Raw genomic sequence first — 22,060 nt, forward strand, 5'->3', positions numbered from 1 at the left:
ATTTGTAAATTTCCTTTGGTATTTTATTAAATTTCCTCTAGGCTTCTTATACCAAACCACTTTCTAACACTTGGATTTTTCCAGATAGTATAAGATTCTACTATAGATGCCTGAAATGCCAGAAAGTCAAAGAGAGGTATAATAGCAGAGCTACAGGTACACAGAGTGATCAGAAAACTAGCACTGGGAAAGAGATTACATAAAGCCACCACAATCTGTCTTTCTAAAGAATAGCTGGTCCTGTACAATCAGCCTTTCCATTTTTTTTCATATTTGTCAAAAAATGTCTTTCTTTTCCTTTTAGAGTGTCCCACTGCCTAGGAATATATTAGTATAAATACACAGATATAAAGTAGAACCAAAGTACAACCTGCTCTAACCCCATACCCAAAAATAACCTGAAAAACTTAAAGATACTAAGATATCAATGGAAAGTAGAAAGAAAATCTTGAGAAAATACTATATAAATTCATTCAAAGTGAGTTTTGCTATATTCGGTGCTTTTCTGTGGGGGGCGGGAGGTTAGGGGAGGGAGGTTACTGCTGAAAGTTAGGGATGGTTTGAGCAGGTGAGGGTTAACTATATTGATATATACAAAGTGCTTTGACCAGTGCCTGGTACCTAGTGAGCATTTTAGAAGTTTTTGTTATTATATTATTTGAAATCTAAACAAGCAAGAGAGCAAGAAGAATTTAAGACAACAATAGCCACAAAACCCAATAAACCTACTTATATTTAGGTGCATACTTAGCCTAGACATTTTAAGAATCTAAAAATTCCTGAAGATTATACAATTAATCATAAAGAATTTACACCTTTTTTGTTACATGCTTGTATCTGAAATAATTTCTACACCTGCCCAAAGGCTGCCACTCACTTTGAAATCAAAGGTGTAATTGGTGTAAGGCATCAAGTTATTTTCATAGGCGCTCTTAAGTTGGAAGCCATGTGTGATTCTCCCTTCTGAGCTTCCATTCTTTCCATTGCAGCTGAAGTTCATAAGACACTCATTGTACCTTAGTTCCTTGAAGTCTTTATGGTTGTCAGCTACTCCTCCATTGCTTAAGTATTCCACAACACCTGGTAGAATAAAGAAGAGACACTTCCATTTAGCATTTAGACCTTACACAAGGCTTCACAGCCAAGACTTGTTACCAGGTTAATCCACCAGGCTCAGAGTGGTCTTCTTAGGTTGAGCCATATAAAACTGCCTTTTGTTGTTGTTTAAAAATAAAAAATCAAATACCAGCCATTTCATATGAGTCAAGCAAATGAATCAAAGGATGTTTGCCTATTTCAGAACAAAATATATCAGGAACACTCAAAGATATCCTTAGTTTTCTTAGTGGTTTTTCAGGCTAAAGATGATTTCCAGGACCTAGGATGGCATTCACCAGGAAGGTATTAACCCTAAATGTTTTTGGAAAATTATTCCAAACCACTATCTCTTTAGTATTTCCCCATTCTAAGCAATCAACAACTTTGCGAATATATAAGTAGAGCATATTAATAAAAATAGTTTACAACAAAAACAGATTTTGCATCTTCAACATTTCAATGTCTAATGTCAGCTAGACAATATCATTCTTTATTTTGAGCTAGAGTGAGTTTTCTCAGTCTGACACTATAAAGCATATTATATGCCAGAAGTATACCACTTGGCTAAAAATACAAGGCTGAAGAGAAGAATAGCATTCAGAAAAGTGCACTGCTTCCACTGAATTAGCAAACATGAAAACAGTATCAAAACCCTTATGATGATTAGTGCACTGTTAGAGTCATCTTTCTATTTGTAATAAGGATTGATAGTAAGATATAATGAATGTGTGATAAGCACAATATCAGTATTGTAAATAGCTCAGAAGGCACTATCATTTGTCTAGTATTTGCTACATGCCAGGCACTGTTCTAAGTGCTTTATTCATGTAAATCTCACAATTCTATGAAGTAGATAACATGATTCCCCCCTTGTTAAAAATGAAGAACTAGGCTGGGTGCGGTGGCTCACACCTGTAAAACTCCCAACACTTTGAGAGGCCGAGGTGGGCGGATCCAGCACCTGAGGTCAGGAGTTCGAGACCAGCCTGGCCAACATGGTGAAAGCCTGTCTCTACTAAAAATACAAAAATTAGCTGGGCGTGGTGGCATGCACCTGTAATTCCAGCTACTGGGAGGCTAAGGCAGGAGAATTGCTTGAACCCGGGAGGCAGAGGTTGCAGTCAAGACTGCACCACTGCACTCCAACCTTGGCAACAAGAGCACAACTCTGTCTCAAAAAAAAAAAAAAAAAAAAAAAAAAAAAAAAAGGAAAAATGAGGAACTTAGTCACAGATTGCATAGTTCATAAGTAGCAAAATCAGGATCCAACCATGACAGTCTGGTACCAAAGTCATTTCACTATGTTGTGTTGCCAAATGACAACTAACTGGTTTTAACAAATCAAATACAATGGGAGAAAAACTTGCACTTGAGAGTAATTCAACTTAAGAAAGGATTAAGAAAGGAGCATGTGGTTAAAGTGCCAATTAGGCTAGGGGTTAAAGACAAACACTTATAAACAATGATTTCAGCATTATTTGCTAAGAAGAAAAAGATGTTTTCAAGTTCAGTGACTTTTTTTTAATATTCCAAGTGTAGGCATTTAGGTTATCTTATAGTAACCTTATTGTTACTTACTTTAAATAACTTAAAATAGCCTAGCAGTGATAATATACAAAATTTAGCATATGCTTTGGTATTGGCAAAAGAGTAATAGTCTAATGTTTTCCATTTGATACCTAAAATGCAGAAATTATTTTTATAAAAAGTAAAATGATAAAAGTTCAGACATAAAGTAGTTTAGTGGAGCTCAAGAAGTAATATGAAGCCCTAGGATAATTTTGATCATTCTTCTGTAACTACTAACATTATCCAAATATCATTTAATGAATTCACTTAAAAGTTGCTAACATTATTAAACTAGAGAGCTACACGTAATGAATATTTTCTGGCTGCCCCTTCAGATCACCCTTCTGCAGTACACTCTGTGCCTCAGGCAGCTGATCTTTATTGCATCAACTGCAAATCCCTCCCCGCTCTAGCTTTTGGTTGGATTTGATCAATGGGCAGCCTAGCAGGAGATGAAAGGACAGAAGCAGAGTGAGGTAAGAATATATATTTCCCTGGCTCCCTTCTTTTTGGTTTGCCAGGGATTGACCGCTTCATGCAATTCAAAGCCATCACTCCTATTATGTGGCCCTTTCCTACAACTGTATTTTTTCCAAGTTCTAATGACAGACAGCTCCCACCACTTTCCCTTTTAGGTAGAGGAGTGGTAAAGAGATCTATTACTAAATCCCCTAGTGGCAGAGTACTGCATCATTTATTGCTTTGTTTCCCTTAAACCAGGCAACACCTTTGGTAATAGCTTCTTTATTAAACTCTCTTCTATTACCTTGTGTCCCATCCATGGAATTCTTATGATACATTCCTTAATTTATCTACTCAAAATTTAGGAGCTAGCTGGCCTTTGAACCAAGAGTAAAAGTGAAATTGAAAGCAGTGAGGAAATGATATTATAAATACCTGAATCTGGCAATGAGTTAAGATCTGCACATAGCACCAGCGGGATGGAATTAGGATCTGCAGTTGGGCTTCCAGGCCTACTAGAGGCTTTCTCCAGAATGTTTTTAACCTCTGAGACAAACATCATGGTCTGGATGAGCTTCACATCAGAATACTCTGGGTCCCAATGCATGTGGGCATTTGCCACTATAAGCAGCTGTTTGTCTGCAGCATGAATAGGCTTCATACCTAAATTTAAACATTACAAAAAGAAGACAAAGTTATGCTTTATGTTTGAAGAAATGTGGCATCCTCAGGTTTTCTCAATATGATCCACAGCTACTTCTTTACTCTTTTCCATGAATTTATAACTTCCCTTTTATCTCATAAAGTAATTCTTAGAAGCTAAAGGGCTGAGATTCTGGTAATCCTACTATGGGAATTACTCTCCTAGATCAAGTTGGCAAACTGTAGCCCATGGGCTAAATCTGGCCCACAAATTTGGTATAGCCCTTTAAATATCTGTCATTTAAATAGCACAATAATGTAGTAAGGCAGGTTTTCAGTTGAGTTACCTAAACCTCAATTTAAATTCTTACTACTGTCTAGTACTCATTCACCTTGCATTTCCCAAGCACAACACAGCACAACTGTGATAGGTCAGCAGTAAAGGCAGTAAATTATATTAACCTATATAAGATAAAATAAGAAAGTCATCTGCTACCTGAACAAATTCACACCATATACCGAAATAACATTATTTTTAAAATCAGAATTAGAGAGTAGTGTGCTATAAAAGTCTGGACACGTGGGTTTTAGACTTGGCTTTCTTACTAATTATTTTATGTAGTTTTGGGTCAGTAATTTAACCAGATTCTTTTGGGAAGTGAAATATTCAACTAGAATATCTCTAAGGTTTTTTTTTTATTCCTATAATTCTATGTTTTTTAATTCTGTTAAAATAAACATTAACATAGTACTTTCCAAATGGTAGATGGAATACATTAAGATTTTTGAAAATTAAACATAGTTAACATTTACTGACAGATGTCCATAAAATATTCAAGATATAAAACTATTAATACATATACTCACATTCTGTATGTTAGTAACTCTATAGAGAAATCAACAAGAGCTATAATCTAGAGTATGAATGACATGAGGGATCTCTCACTTTTTACTTTACATACCTTTAAACCATTGGACTATCCGTAAACATACAAATTTAATTTTTCTTTTATAATTTCTATAGAAGCGTCTCAAATTTTTCTATTGGAATATAAGCTTTGGGGGAAAAGACCTAATTTTCTAAGTCTACTAGTTTGTTAAAGTTTCTTTCCAGTCTCACCAAGCTATAATTATCTTCAATGTTGAGAAAATAAGAAACTGAAGTATCTGTTATATCTGACATAGTCACCTTAAAAGCAATTTGATCATAAATGTCTGTAGCCAAATCTTCTAAGCGATCTTCTTTTCCCAGTTTTACAGTGTCACTTTTAGCTATAGATTAAGTATTCACAATATTAAAAATTTTCCCCTTCAAAGAGCCATAAGCACTATATTACTAAATTCCCCTTCTATGAGTACAAGAGATATGTATTTCAGAACGTAAAAGTCTCTACTATTTAGAATTACTCTTCCGCAAATTAAAAGAGGAGTAAAACTCCAAAAGATATTCTCCACAATATCAGAAAAAAAAGTACCAAACTTTGGGAAGAATAAGATTGTAAAGGACATAAAGGTAAATAAAAACGGAGGGGCTAAGAAAAGTAAAAAGTCCAAAATTTCATATCAAAGATTACCTTTGATAAGGAATAAATTGAAGTATGGTGAGAAAAGAAGGTTTGACACATATGCATGGTCTGAATAATTCAAATCAATACTCTAGTCCAAAATAATCTTTTCCTCTACAAAAAGTACAGGGGAAAAAAAGCCCTGATGTAGTCTCACTCCTTTCTTGCTTAAAATGTACTAGTAAACAGTGAGATGCTCAAAGGCAGGCAGTAAGAAGGATAAAAAAGGTCTGTGTATGAAGTACATAATGAGTTTCTGACTCTGAAGGAAGCTATAAATAATCTAAAATGCTAAAGTAAGTACCATGTAGATAAAAGATCCTGCTCTTACCCTGACAATGACTGAGATATAACAAAGAAACTAGAGGAAATGTGCCAAGTCCTTAACCTTAAAGACAAAAGAATCACACTCAAGCTAAAAATATAATTCAAAAAGAGGGCCAAGTCATCATAATTTCTAAATTCAGCCTAACCAAAATATTCCCTATTTAAAAGAACTGTTTGGGATTAATGGCATATTAAAAAAGACTTTACATAGATTATCTGGTAAGTAAAAAAGACTGTGATAGAGAGCACAAAATATCCCAACAAATATATGATGCTTTACACAATGGTGCTATTTTCCTGCCCATCTCCCTTAACTTTCCTCAAAAGAAAATAACTTTGCAATAAATAACGGCAAAATTCTCTTCACTTGTTTTGAGATGGAAAAACTTGGGATGGTGTTTATTTTTAGTAAGAATATTTTACATTGCACTCACCTGCTCCAAATAGTTCTTTGTGGACCTCTAATACCACAGCGACACCAATGTTATCTTTTGTCATCACTCTGTTCAGCATAGCTTCGGATCCATCTGAATTAGCCATCGCCACTTGGTTAAATTCCACTGTATGCTTCTGCACCAATGTAAATCTAAAAGGTACATTATTATAATTTTAGGTACCTAGACTATCATGCTGAAAGATATTAAATGAAAGAAACATGACATGCATTGTCTCCCTTGTCATTTTCTAGCTGCAAGTGACCATGTGATACAGTTCTGGCCACTAAGACACAAGAAGTCTGATTATTGTAAAAAGTTTCTCAGAGGCCCCACCTAACAAAGACAGCATATATATCCCTTCATGCTTTTATACCTTGCCCCTTACAGCTAGTGCTCGGAGAAATAATAACCATCTTGTGACCATGAAATAAGAAGCAGGAAGGCAAAAGCCAACCTTCTAAAAATGGGGAAGCAGCTGAACCAGTTCTGGACTGCCTATTTCTGGACTTCTTGTGTGAGAAAATCACCCTTCCCTCATTTGTTTAAGCTACTGCTAGAATTTTCTGGTATTTAAAGGTGCACACAATCTCAACTAAGTTAATGAGAAAAAGATAAAAAGAATACAATCCACCTACCCTGTTTGTAGTTTTATTTCTACCACATCAAGATATTTGTCAACAAAATACAGGGGCACACCTTTATCTCAGCTAAAGAGTAACTGATTTTTCCATCTGACTTTTACTAGAAAGTTGCAATGGGGTATAAGTATTCTGAGAAACAGATTCTGCAAGATGAAGAAATGACTCTCTCTGTGATTATAGCTTCTGCACTAATAATTTTTTCTTTCCTTCATTAATGCCAAATTATTAAGCATTGTAGAGTTGTAGGATTTAATAGAATTGGTTTAGTGCTGACATTTAATTGCAGTGGGATGTTGGTGAAGTCATTTAACCTTTTTCAGTCTAATTTTATTAATTTGTGAAATATTTATAAGTAATCAAAACCTACTAAATACATTACTTGCACTAGGTGTTCAGTGGAGAGAAGACATAGTCTTGTAACAGATCCCCTCCTCACTTTCCTTCAAGCTTTGAAAACAGAAGCTAGTTTCTGTTTCTTCAAAAATATTGACTTACTATGCCACAGGATGCTGCACTAAATGAAGCAATATTCCCTTCCCTCCTCCAATTCTGAACGTGTCAGCTGGACTGACAAGTGTAAAGGGTCAGTTTATGTGCCTATTTCTAACCCAGAGTGCTTAAAGTGACTATAGTTTCTACCCTCTAAAGAGGTAATCTATAAGCTTAAATATGACAGATGAAAGTTACTAAGGTGAAGAATGGGGTTAAGAGCATCCCAGGTAGAAAATGTGAAAGGTCCTGAGACAGCAAAAAGCACTGCAAGTTTATGTGTTAGAAAAGAATGGAAGGGTATGAAATGATGCTGAAGAGGAGAGATAAAAGTTCTAAGCCAGGACATGGTATCATTTGATTTATGTTTTTTAAGATCACTTAGCTGCTCAATTAAAGAACTGATAACTGGGAAGCAGATTAGAAAGTTTGTGAGGTTATCTGAAAGAGAAATGATGGTGGCTTGAACAAAGGCAAGAGAAATCAAGAGGAGTGAGCAGTTTCAAAATGTGTCCTATAGACAGGATTGACCATTGTCCATATCAGACTTCTTCAAACAATTTTAAGCTGTGGAATACCTTTTACAGTTTCTGGTGAGATTCCCACAGATAAAACAGATAAAAGCAGCATTATGTTAGAATAAATCAACCACTGAAAACAAGCAACCTATTTTGATGAATATAAAAATTTGAAATCAGAGGACAGAGATGATATAGTTTTATATCAGTCTCAGTGTCCAATTTTTGTATTTTGTTTTGGTTACAGAGTATTATTAAAAATCCTGATTCACACAGCTATAAATGGTAAATAACTGGCCCTATACTCAGAAAAAAGAAGCAGACATGAAGAAATTTGATTCAGAGGTCTGCACCAAAAACAAGTTAACTAAGCAGTACTTTATGAACACGTTAATGATTTCCAAAATGTTAAAACTTGTATTTGAAACATGTGAGTGAACATGTTATTTTCAAATTACAGTTCAATTATTCACATTTAATTTTTGAGATATCTTCTAAATATTCACAGAACTTCTATGGTATACTTACAGGAACCTAGGATTCTGTACAAAAGTCTTAAAAATCCTGTTAATTATAATATTTTTATAACTGGAATAATTTTACTTCTACCAAAGCTAGGTCATTCTTTGGGGCGTAGGGGCAGGGGAGCATAGGACTCTAATTAAAAGAAATAACTAAAATTTGCTTTCCTGTATTCTTCTCCCATTTTTTCCATTAAAACTAGATCTAGATCTTTTCAAGAATATACATTAAATCTAATTTCTCTTCCAAATGACACCACTTTAAATATCTGACAATAGATGTCAATGCTCTCCCACCCTCCATGTCTTCTCCGGAAAAGAAACGATCAGTTACACTTACATGATGTGTGATGTTGTTCATCTGAACAATTTGTTTAAATTTGCTCAACAAATTTAAATTGAACTGACAACTGGGTCTGTCTTTTTGAAAAGTTCATTTGAACAACTCAAGTTTACCCAAAGGTGCAGTACCTATAACTGGGCATAAATGAACTACAGCCTTCTTCATTTTTTAACTGTATTTTCATTAATAAAGACTAAAACTTCACTTTGGGGAAAGTCATATTGTAAGCCAAACAGGAACTAACATATATCTGAAATGTTTTGATCTTTTTGCTCTTAAACCAGGTCTTGTCAGTCCTGCATTTATAGGTACTTCAAAACAAAAACGTGGAAAAAATGATACATTAAATATGTTTATTGTAGAGATATGAGAACAAAGAAAACTAAGTCACTTATAACCCAATACCTCCATTTAAAAGTTAATATATTTCCCCAGACTTTTCTCTACACACATACACACACATATTTTTACGCATTTAGAACAATACTATTCTATCAGGGACATTTCCTATAACATTTAATATTCTTCCAAATCAATTTTGATGACTGGATTATAGTCCACTCTACAGATTCACCATAATTTATTTAACCTGTGTTGGACATTTAAGTTACTTACGTATTTTAACTAATGCCGTAATGAACATTGCTACATATATTTTTCTGTGGTCTCAGCTGATTCTTGTCCCTCCCTCTTTTTATTCCTTCCATTAATAATCTAAGAGCGGCAATCTTTACCTCAGTTAAGTATCACTTCATGAACATCTGCTCATTAGTTCACCTATTCGGATATTAAGTGCTCTGAAACTTCATTCTATTTAATTTTTAATTTTTTACAGATATGTAAGATAGATGCACAAATTTACAGGATATAATTCTATTTTTCTATTGGATCTAATTCTATTTTTCTAATAGATTAAATATCCCTGCCAGCTTTTGGACATTTATAAATGTTATGAGCATGCATTCTCTTCTCTCAAAATAATTAAATTTCTCAATAGGACAGAATAATAAAAAAAAAATGAAAGCTACCATTATTGAGGATCTATCCAGTCTCAAGATTTGTGTTAAGTACTTCATATATGTTAGTCCTAAAATTTGCACATGGAGATATACTGCTCAGATTCCTCATCAGGGATTGCTTCAGTTGCAGAAAGCTGCCTACTCATGGTCACATACTTCTAGGAGCACCACCATCCAATTAGAAATCGAAAGCAAAAGTTAAAAGTCCAGGGATGTGGGCCCCTTGTGGTTTAACTCTCACAGGCCATATAAGCTCTAAAGCTCCCTGTTGAGTCACCTGAGGCAGTCAGGCCTGCAACACTTCACTTTTCTCCGTATGTCCAATTCTGCTTCCTCCCCTTTCCACAGGTGTTGATTTCTAATAAACTCCTGAACACCAAACTATCTCCGAGTCTTCTTTCGGTTATCTCTGAGAACCCACATTGCAGCAGGAGGTATTACTACTGCCATTACAAAGATGAAGAAAACTGAGGCTGGGCAAGTCTGTCTTTTTGAAAAGTTTGATAGTTCATCCATCCCCCAAATCCTAGAATTTTTTTCTCTACTCCAATATTTATAACAGATTACCTTTGCCAGTTCTCTAACCACACTTCCGTAAGATCTTTAATACCATAAGATATAATTATCTTCATCTGAAAACCTAACTAGTTAGTGCAGTTTAGTGACTCTCTTGGCTTACCAATCTCACCGTCTTGGTTTGCCATTCTCCTCTTTACCTGGTCTTAGTGTTTCTACTTTGAGGAAAATTCTTCTCAATAGAAATCATGAAAGCAAAACATAAATTGTATAGAGCTGTTTTTTGTTGATCGTCAATTACTGATTATACAGTCTGCAGCGGGTCCATTCCTTCCTTGTTATTTACAGTGCATAATGTTAGTTAAAATATCCTCCTCACTGCCTTAGCACTTTCACCCAGCCTTTTCTTTTTCTTAAGTTTCTTAGTAATGATCATAGGTTCATTAAACTTTTTTAAAAATACATGATTAGTTATTGATCTTTCTTCATTTAAATAACAATTCTTTAAACATAAATCTTGAGCAACCACTGGGTTATCAGATGCTTGCAACTATCCTTCCAACTTTATTTCTCATTGGTATATACTGCCATACTTTTGACTTTTAAAACTTCTCAATCTTTTAAAGGTACCTTCTTTTTACTGTCATGGTTTCAAAAGTCCAGAAAAGCAAAACTAGTCTTCCTAAACAGGATGCATATGTCATTATAACTAACACTCCCTTCCACTGCCACTGAGAAACTCTAGAGCACACATTCTCACTCAAGTTTTATCACTTCAGCTTCACCAAGGGTTGAAAAACCAAAGAGAGAGTTGAAAACTAGTTGAACCAAATAAAGTTCCTTCTTTCTAGTAAATAAGAGTGTTGATATGTTTCTTGAACTTTAAGACTTTCTCAGATATTCTGTTTTTAAAAGAATGAGATTTCTAGCATTAGTGCTGATGGCTGTAATCTACAATTTATCTTATTTCCTTGTTTATAACTGTAATAAATTTACAATATAGTAAGATATAATTACCCATATTCTATCCCTACTACCTTAACAATGCTACTTCTTGCATTCCCTTCCCATACAAACCAAATGCACTCTATTCTGCATCTACTTTGTTTCACAGATTTCCATACAGGTAACATTTTGAAATATAGAGGTTTTCTGCCATTCTTTCTATTATTAGATGTTTCTTCTCAATTAGACATATTAGTTTATAGTTACTTTCCAATCATTGTTCCAAGCCATACAGCCTTGGTAATACGGAAAATCTTAAACTTGTCTCTTTCGATACATTAGTTTACCATTCATACTCTGTGACTGGTATACAGATGCTAAAAGCATTATTCCTGATGATATTTTATTCTAAGAATTCTTCTGTATATTCACATTTTTGAAAAAAAAACTAGACGAAAGGTCAAATGGATAAAAGAACATATATTAATATAATAAAGACTGCTATGACCAAAAAATCCCCTTATATGATTTGAGAATTATTATTAGGTTGGATGTTTCATGTGCAAAAAGAACACGTCCAGAGCAGTCCTTCAAATAAAGACATAACTCAATTTCTTACCAACTTGTAGTCTAAAAATAACTTTGTGGGCTCTGATGTAATTAATTAATGCTAGAGAGAGGACAGTGACTGCCAACTATGAGAAACTAAAGCAATCTATAGGATTTAAGTAATATTCCATCCCTGAATTCATTTACAAGTAAAAAGGGGCAATGTAATACACAGTCAAGACAATAGTATAATCACACAAAGTTAACTCTGACCCTTTCTGGATCACATCCCAACACTGTTAAAACCAAACCAAATAGAAGTTCTTACTATATTCAGTATAAAATGATATAAAATGTGTTCTTGGTCCCTTTAAGTAATCATGGGAGTGCCAGAAGGTAACTAATTGGAAAAGGTAAGCTGAGAGACCAGGTTAAATAAGGAAGTAGATAAATAACATCCTATATTTGTACCGTTCTTTTTTTTTTTTTTTTTTTTTTTTTTTTTTTTTGAGATGGAATCTTGCTCTGTCACCCAGGCTGGAGTGCAACGGCACGATCTTGGCTCACTGCAACCTCTGCCTCCCGGGTTCAAGCAATTCTCTGCCTCAGCCTCCCGAGTAGCTGGGATTACAGGCGCCCACCACCAAGCCCAGCTAATTTTTCTATTTTTAGTAGAGACAGGTTTTCACCATCTTGGCCAGGCTGGACTTAACTCCTGACCTTGTGATCTACCCGCCTCAGACTCCCAAAGTGCTGCCATTATAGGGGTGAAACACCACGCCCAGACTGTACAGCTCTTTTAACCACTGAAAGTGCATCCACATTCATTATTTTAACCCCATAAGAAACCTCTAAAGTGGAACAGTTATTATCTATATTCGAAAGGTACAGAAACTGTAGTACAAAGTCGTAATGTTATGATCCAGGTTGAATAGAAATTACCAGAAGAGTACAGATCAAAATCTCATTTTCAAAAAAAATCCTACGTACAAATTCTAAATGCAACAACCACCTATGACACAGGAAATTAATAACTGAGAGACCAGTGAGATGGGAGTATCACAACAGTAATGATACTGTACCATTTTGGAATGATACTATGACCTCTGAAAACCCTCCTTCCAAGCACAAAACTACCTGTGATAATAGAAGAAAAAAAAGCAAGGACTTGGCCTTACCTGGTACCTCTGAGAATGGAAGCAGGTTAGGAAGTACAGCAAGAACTAAGTGCCATGACAACCTAAGTTCCCAATCCTATGATAAGAGATTGCCTCTTCACAGTGCAATGATCACACTGTTCTAAATTGCTGTTTTCATCTTTCCCTTTCTCATTGACTTGAAATAAAGCATGATAAGGAGGTCAGAACTGCTAACCTCAGGAACAGCAAGTCTAGCATATAGGTCTGCTTTCATCTTCATATTTTCCCCCACTATTAAGTTGTGTATCTGGCTCCAAGACCCAATTCTACTTAATGGTTAAGTCTATAGGACAAAACATGGCAAAAAGAAATTTAAATTATGAGTCTAAAGCATGTATCTACGGCCAGGCGCGGTTGCTCACGCCTGTAATCCCAGCATTTTGGGCGGCCAAGGAGGGCAGATCACCTGAGGTCGGGAGTTTGAGACCAGCCTGACCAACATGGAGAAACCCTGTCTCTACTAAAAACACAAAATTAGTCAGGCATGGTGGCGCATGCCTGTAATCCCAGCTACTCAGGAGGCTAAGGCAGGAGAATTGCTTGAACCTGGGAGGCGGAGGTTGCAGTGGGCCAAGATCACGCCACTGCACTCCAGCCTGGGCAACAAGAGTGAAACTCCGTCTCAAAAAAAAAAAAAAAAAATGTATTTACAACTCAGTTTCTACATATACATTATATACATATAAGAAACATATGCATATGTATGAATGTATTTTATAAAATGCTTTGGAACGTAAATAATACTTGTTAAAAGACAAAGCAAAAGCTGAGATCTGGTATTTTATCACTCAAAGTTCTATTTTCTAGTATCTCTATGCATCTAACTCCCAAAAAATGATGTTCATAATGATGACCAAACAGGTGCTGCCAAATCCTGAAGTAGATTCTGAATCCCCCAAAACTAAACTAGAATAATGTGATTTAAAGAACAGTGTATTATATTCTAATTATCTGAATATTGGTAACTTGTGTCCTAGCCTTTACTAAACAATACTCTATCCTTTCATCATGATGGATTAGAGATTTTTATTATAGTATTTTGCTATAAATGGCAATTATGATAGTTTCCATTTATTGTTGCGTATTCTGTACCAGTTTTTCATGTATGATTAAACAGTCATCAGTGAAGATGAGGAATTATCAGATACTCTGATTACAGAAGAAAGAGACTGAGAGTAAGTACAGTGTTGACTACTCTTCCACAGTTATCTTTGTTAGTTTTGTAACCTCTACAAAAATGATCTTACAAGATAAGAATATACAAATGAAGAAACAGGTCCAGAAATGCTAAGTCTTTCAACATTATATAGCTAAATAAATAGAAGAAGCACCTGGCTTCAAAACTCACAGTCTTTTTTTGCCCTATATTTCCAGTCTGAAGAAAGAATAAAGGCAGGGTATAATACTTTAAATTCCAAATAGTTGGCACTGAATAGTCAGCTAAGACATGGATAAATATCTGGTACTGGGACAGAAGGTGGTTTTGTTCTACCTATAGGAGGTATATAGTCCTGTCATTCCAGGAAAGAAGTTGAAAAGAGGTACAATATACTGATGTATCACATTCAATCTGTTGCCAGATCCATGTTACTATTCAGGAAAAAAGAGTTGAGGAAGAAAAGAAAAACAGGTGACACATCTAAGTACTTCCTATGTGCTCATTACTTAACTAGTTCACAGCATTTTTAATAATTCAAGAATCAATTTGCAAATACCCAGATAACAGTTCTAACTGTTATTTCAAAGCCTTAACTACTTCTAGTAAATTGTTAAGGAATTTTAGATTTTTCCTCTCAAAACTGTGAGAGTAATAATAAAAATCTTCCATATTATCTTGAAAGAAACTATAGCAAATAGAAAAAGAGCCTGATGTTAGATGTCTCAAGTTTACTGGTGCATTTTTTTTTTAAGCTATGGTGTTTCAAGGGGATTTGTGTATGAACATAGGTAACAAATATCGTCAGGCACGGTGGCTTACGTCTGTAATCCCAGCACTGTGGGAGGCTGAGGCGGGTGGATTGCTTGGACCCAGGAGTTCAAAACCAGCCTAGGGCAACACAGCAAGACCCCATCTCTACAAAAAATACAAAAATTAGTTAGGTGTGGTGGCATGCACGTGTAGTCTCAGCTACTCAGGGTGCTGAGGTGACAGAATCACCTGAGCCTGGGGAGGTTGAGGCTGCAGTGAGCCATGATCGCCACTGCACTCCAGCCTGGGTGACAGAGTAAGACTCTGAGACCCTGTCTAAAAACAAAAACAAATGTCAAATTCAGGGCAATTTTTCTAAATGAGGTAATCTTATAAGAGGTATTAGTGATATCAAAAGCTCAAACAAGAAGGCTAAAGATTCAGTTTATTACAGTAGTTAAAAGCATGGACTATGAAATCAGACTGTGTAACTGGAACTAGTTATTGAACTTGTCTGTACCTTGGTTTCCTCATCTTTAAAAACAAGGAAATAGCTGTATAGCTGCCTGTAAGAGTTGCTTTAAAATTTGAACAAGACAACTAATATAAACAATTCGAAAAGGCTGACAGATGGCAAACACTCTGGAAGTACGGTCATATACCATATAACAAGATTTCAGTCAACAAGGGACTACATGCCGATGGTAGTCCCACAAGACTATAATGGAGCTGAAAAATTCCTATCACCCAGTGATGATGTAGGTGTCTTAACATCACAGCACAATACATTACCTTTTTTACGTCTAGATATGTTTAGACTCAAATGCCATTGTATTACAATTGTCTATTTACTACAGTAACATGCTGTACAGGTTTCTAGCCTGGGAACAACAGGCTATACCTTATAGCCTAGGTGTATAGTGCTGTACCATCTAGGTTTGTGTAAGTGCACTTCATGATGTTCCCACAACAACAAAATCACCTAATGATGCATTTCTCAGAACATATTCCCGTAGTTAAGAGATACGTAGTTTTAATAGAATTATTCTAAAATGCATAAAAAATTACCAAACCATTAGAAGAATTTAGTATATTCTGACCTCAAATACTACAAGGCTTTGTACTAATTATTAACCAAAATAAGAATATCTCTACTACAAATTCATGGAAAAGACAGGAAAGTAGGCATAGATAAATGGGAAGTGGACCAAATATCTTTCAAATTCATTGAATTTGTTTACTTAAAATAGCATGTCATGCTGGTAATATGCTTGGATCAATAAAAACAGATTGGCTTTGGTAAAATAGATGTAAAATGGGGAAATACTGGAAAACAGCTGTAAGCATGTATATGCTTATCCTGTAAGATGATTTCCTAACGTATGAAATCCAAACTATTAACCATGGGATTCAACCTCTATCAGATGTCACGTTTCATTTTCCATTGCCCTGTCTCAGTCAACCCTTTTAACTCTCTACCTCCATATGCTCTGTGCCTGCCTCTCTTATCTACCCAGGCAGACCTCTATCTTATATTACACCATATGATATTGCAATTGTCTTATATGCCTAGTTTTTCCTACTGGATTTGAGCTTTCAGTGAGATTAGGAACTATGTCTTGACTATCTTTGTGTCTGTTGTGTCTAGCACAGGACTTATCACAAAGCAAATGCTCAGTATACATTTAGTGAATAAATGATTTTAAAATGAATGATTCTCAAAAATCAATTATTAAAAAAAAATCACAGAAAAGAAACCCAGATCACTTATGGCCAACCTTAAAAGGTATCACTTTCTTTTTTTACACAAAAACTAATACTTTACTTCATGAAAATATGTTCTGAAATATGAGACCATTCAAGTCTGTATCTCTTAAAATGTTCAGTGTTATTTGGTAATAAAAGCATAAGGAATAATACAATAAATATCCTTATTTCGAATACACAGCCTGAGAAATGAAACATTAACAACAGTTTTAAGTTGCATAATACTTGTTTTCTAGCTTTCTGTTGATTTTATAGGGCAAAACCAAAGACAATTTTAAAGTGTAAGCATTTAAATAAATAAAAGTACACCATTGTGCTTTGTTTCCTTAACTTACTTTTCTGTTTTGAAGAATATTGCACAACCATCTACATGCTTTCTCTCCTGCTCAGACATGATTTTGGCACGTGACTTTGGAGAAAAAAATCCATCATATCCACGCTCCTTCAATGCTGGCAGAAAGAGAGTGAAGTATTGCTCTGTTTCCACTTCCTGAGATGAAAGAAAAGTTATCATCTATATGACAGAGGGAAAATGCTGATTAAGATATAAAAATGTTCAGCATTATGAGTAAGATGTAACTTAGTAAAAATAATTCACATAGCAAATATTATCTTACTATCTTACCTGATTGCTAGCAGCTGCTACTTGACAATGGCAGCTTTTTAAACATGAAAGAACCAGAAAGGTGACATGATTTTCTCATGCTCACACAGATAGTAACAGGAGTAGGACTACATCCCAAGGTCTCTTGATTCCCAATTTACAGTTCACTCCATTATACTTTACTTCCTCAAGACTGGCAACTAAACAAAGCAAGTTGGGTATATGATAGATTCTGTGATAGGGAATAGTAATTTATATATAAAAAGGTAATTTAAAAACTTGCATATCCTTCTGAACTATGGTGGAAAGAAATGATACCCAAGAGTGAGAAACGTAAAATCTATCCACAAAAAATTCTACTTTAAGAAATTTTTAAGTACCTAAATCGCAATCATCCAATGGCCTCTATTAATTTAATAATTATTAGTCTATTTTATTCTTTGACTCATAAAATATTTTAACAGGTCTTTCTAAATGAAATAAATATGAAGATAATTTATGTATGCAGATGTTTCTAACAGCATGAGTTTATGACAGCAAAAACCCATAAACAACTAAATGTGTCCAATGGTATGGGAAAAGCTACATCAATATACGTTCATATAATTAATGAGTTTTGAAGAATTTTAGTAACATGGAAAATCCATTAAGTACAATAAATAAGAATCAAAATGTATCTGTAAATATATTTTACTTAATGTATAGAAGAAAAATACTCCAGAAGTTTTAACACAACTATCTTATGACATGAAATTAGGTATTTCCCTCCATCATGCTTTATATTTTTTCAAAATTTTCAACTTCTCTAGAATGATCTCTTTTTAATACAGTATAGTATTATAGCATTGCTTTTATAATAAGACAATTTTCTTAAATTATGTTCTATCCTTCAAACTGCTATATTTAGGAGGGTGTGAGGCTGTTATCACTACAAATACTAAACCAAGAAGTAGACAAGAAACTACAATAGCCTGATTTTGTTTGCCGCCTCCTCTCCCCAATTCTCTGTTAGTCTCAGTATTTAGAAGAAATTTTATTTTAATTTTAAAAGATTTTTACTTTTTTCCCAAGCAACCTAAAAATAAATTATCAAGCTACTCTGTTACATAAAAAAATTTTTAATAATTTTTCCTCTCAGGCTATGATGAAAAGAATGTGTGAAATTGTAACACACAACTTTTTTTTTTTTTTTTTTTTTTTTTTTTTTTTTGAGACAGAATCTCGCTCTGCCATCCAGGCTGGAGTGCAGTGGTGCAATCTCTGATCACTGCAACCTCTGCTTCCTGGGTTCAAGCAATTCTCATGCCTCAGGCTCCCAAGTAGTTGGGATGACAGGTGCACGCCACCTTGCCTGGCTAATTTTTGCATTTTTAGTAGATATGGGGTTTCACCACGCTGGCCAGGCTGGTCTCAAACTCTTGACCCCAAGGGATCCACCCGCCTCGGCCTCCCAGAGTACTGGGACTATAGGCGTGAGCCACCATGCCCGGCCTGTAACACACAACATTTTTAAACACCTTTAAGAAATAGTAAGTTTCTGAGTTGATGAATATGTTAATTAGCCTCATTTGATCATTTAAAAAAATATATATGTATCAAAACATCACAATGTACCCCATAAACATATACAATTATTTGTCAATTAAAAATTTTTAAACCTTTAAGCACTTAATATGTTTTGAAAGTTGCTAAGAAAAAAGTTACTAAAAACTATTCAAACATCTTTTTGGCTAATCATTAGCTAAATTTTGAAGCAACAGAACACATTTCATGAAAAGATGCTGCTTCTTCAGTAAAGTTCAATTTATAAAGTGCTATAAAACAGAAGAATCTAAATTTCAGAGATGGTTTATAAAGTAAGGTAAGGCAAATATGCATGATTTATAGTACAATATATTAAAATATGTCTGTTTAAGGAATAACTGTGGGCAAGCTTTTTTTTTTAAAAAAAAACAGACTCCAATACAAGGTAAATTTATATTCCTAAAAGACTGGCAATCTTCTGTGGTTTTCTCTTTCAGCAATACCAATGATCATGAGGTGAATATTAACATGAACGGGTAAGATTATTTCCACTTAAGAAAACAGTAAATAAATATAAGTAGGTGGTTGTATTCAGTCAGCAAAATAGTTTCACTATGGAAATGTCTTAAATGCTTATTTAAATTGTCCATTATTTTTAAGAGGAGAGAAAACAATTCTTTTTGAGCTTTGGCTCTAAACACAGGATCTCTCCCAGTGGTCAGATCTTCTCTTATGTTTAAGTTCACCTTTTAAGTTAAAGACAGTTTAATTTCTATGGTGTTACCTGAAGACTAATGATATCTGCGTCACAGTTAACAATTTCTTCCATAATTCCCTTTTTCCTGTATTCCCAGTTTAATGCCCAGGATGGGCAATAGCCATATAGCTGCCGGGTAGCGTATTTATCACATAACACATTGTAACACATAACCGTGAATGATGCTAAGAAGTGGGAGAAAAAACAACAGACAAACGGGAGAAAATTAGGCAACTTTTTCTAAAGCAATATCATGTGTACACCTGCACAAGCACACACACATACGCCACATATCATCATTGTAAAATGCCTAGGCAAGATAAAGATTGCTAATCTACTAAAACATCATTGGAGTCTATCATACAAAATTTATTTTATTAAGTCTAGAATTAGACTAACAGCTTATATTTGAGAGTTTTAAGGAAATTTATTTTAATAAAAAATTTAAATTTTAAATCTGCTAATTTTTTGCTTATAACTTTGAGAAAAGCTTCTTTAAATGAGTGGAACAAAAGTAAACTGTAGTTGCATTTTAATTAAAGAACTCTAATCTCATTACCTCTTATTAACAAAATATCTAAGTATTTTTTGTGCCTCCTACTGCTATCATTACTTTGAAGCAGAAGAGTATGGACTAACAAAATTTAGTTGTAAGAGAATCGTTTTTGTCAATCAAATGTTCATTTCTGAAATAAAATGCTCATTTTTAAATGTCCTTTAACTATAAAAAGACTGTGAGCAAACTAATAGTAGAAGATGGTTTGCATCCTTGCTACTCAAAACTGTGCTGTGAAGACCAGCAGCATCAGTAATCAATCACCTGGGAATTTAGAAATGCAGAATCTGTGGCCCCATAAACACCTCTTTTGGACAGGATGTGCAATTTAACAAAATCTCCAGGTGATTCATATGCACTTGCATGTTAAAGTCTGAAAAGCCCTGATTTTTATCAGTAATTCTCCATCTTGGCTGCCTAGTAGAATCACTTTGTAGACCTTATAAAGAAAAATGCTGAAGTAAGGGTCTGACTCCAGACTAATTAAGTTGAAATATTAAGAGTCTAGCTATTCGTATTTTTAAAAAGGATCCCAGCATCCCAGGTGATTATAATGAACAGACATGGTTGAGAATCACTTATTTAAATAAGACGTGAGGAATTCAAAGTGAAGTGACACTTGATTGAAGTTGGTTCTGTTTCAGATGATGGAAAAGGTATTAAGAGAAACTCAGTTCAGTCCCCTGGGGGGTCTGACTGGTGACCATTTTGTACACTGGGAGCTAAATTTCAATTTGAGTTGACTTTTGTACTTTCTGAGTATTTATCTTGGAAATGACCCAGCATCATTTCCAAGCCACTACACTGTGAAGTAAGCACCCTGAATTTACCTTACTATGCTTCTCAGTATTTGAAATGTCATTTGGAAGTAAGGCGAAAGAGGCAGACTGCCATTTGCTTCATTCAGTTTTTTCCTAAGACTTTGTAAACTGAGATTTCATTAAAAAGATCAGAGATTGCAATTTTTATAATATAGCCAAAACTCTTTATATCCCTGCCAGTGCCTGAGAATGAACCAGCAATTTTTAAACAGAAGTAAAAACTACCTAAGTGTTATTACCACTCATCTCTTATACTCTGTTTCTATCTGGGACCTTTTTCATTATCTAGGCTTGATTTCCATATAGTTTATCATGTTTTTAAGCAATAAATCACCCTTAGCCACCACAAAGTATTATACACATCCCTCTATGCATCAGAAGTAAAATGCATTTTTAACAGTAACTTTTTTTCAGCACTCAGATCCTACTCAGAGAAGCACCATACCTCACAAGAAAAGTCCACACTAGTTTTTCAATAAAGAAAACCCAAGAACAGATTACTTTGAGAATTCAGCAATTAATGAAAATTTGTTTCTATTGTTCCTTTTCTTAATAGAAATGTAGCTGTGCAATATTAGAAAATCTTTTCTTCAAGATTATGTTCACTCATATTCAAAAGGGATTACTATGAAGAATTAGAAAATGGTGTTTTTAACATCAGAAGGGAATAATTAATTATACACTAGGAAAGGCCAAGTATAAAATAAATCTATCTAGCTTTAAGTTTTGTAGAAAACCTTAGGTACTCCTTTCACTTAAACACCAACATGCAACCTGATAGTAAAAATGTTATTCATAACACTGACACAATGCCTCTTAAAACAAGCTGATATTGCAGCTCTAGAGTGGGTTGGTTTTAAAATTATTACCTCTGAAAGACACAAAAATGTACTGCATATTATAATATTTTGTAGTGTTATTAAAATGCAAATAGAACCATGAAGAGGCTATATATCCCACATTTCCAAATACTAAAAAAAAAAAAGACTTGTTCTGAATCCTCTTAACTTAAAAAAAGCCCAAAACTCACAAACAAAAGGCCTTTATATTGCTCAAAATATATATAAAGTCTAATTGTGATTTACCCTTTAAAAATTAACTATCTCTTTTTTTGAGACAGGGTCTTGCTCTGTCTCCTAGGCTGGAGTGCAATGGCAAAATCTTGGCTCACTGTATGTAAACTCCGCATCCCAGGTTCAAGCGATTCTCGTGCCTCAGCCTCCTAAGTAGCTGGGATTACAGGAGTGCGCTACCACGACCTGGCTAATTTTTGTGTTTTTAG

General features: G+C 34.6%; 1 protein-coding gene across 19 annotated transcripts in view, besides 1 other annotated feature; it reads right to left on the bottom strand.

The window, feature by feature from the left end:
- CNOT6L (CCR4-NOT transcription complex subunit 6 like) overlaps nt 1-22,060 on the bottom strand; it is a 106,883-nt gene that overhangs the window by 11,903 nt on the left and 72,920 nt on the right. For 10 of the 19 annotated variants that reach the window (NM_001387835.1, NM_001387836.1, NM_144571.3 and 7 more), the window contains 5 exons: nt 19,429-19,586; nt 16,852-17,006; nt 6,098-6,249; nt 3,565-3,792; nt 878-1,080 (listed from right to left, as the gene is read on the bottom strand). In NM_001387835.1, coding sequence (NP_001374764.1) covers nt 878-1,080; nt 3,565-3,792; nt 6,098-6,249; nt 16,852-17,006; nt 19,429-19,586 — 896 coding nt within the window. Of the gene's footprint in view, nt 1-877; nt 1,081-3,564; nt 3,793-6,097; nt 6,250-14,818; nt 14,915-16,851; nt 17,031-19,428; nt 19,587-22,060 lie in introns of all 19 variants that reach the window. The other 9 variants (NM_001365006.1, XM_011531809.2, XM_011531806.4 and 6 more) reach the window with 3 other exon arrangements.
- Nucleotides 9,709-9,768: an enhancer, noted in NCBI's record as "active region_21639". NCBI's record gives its function as "activates an Ori minimal core promoter by ATAC-STARR-seq in GM12878 lymphoblastoid cells {active_cell/tissue: GM12878}" and the evidence as "EXISTENCE:reporter gene assay evidence [ECO:0000049][PMID:35858748]".

This window comes from Homo sapiens, chromosome 4 (assembly GCF_000001405.40).
Source record: "Homo sapiens chromosome 4, GRCh38.p14 Primary Assembly".
NCBI lineage: Eukaryota > Metazoa > Chordata > Mammalia > Primates > Hominidae > Homo > Homo sapiens.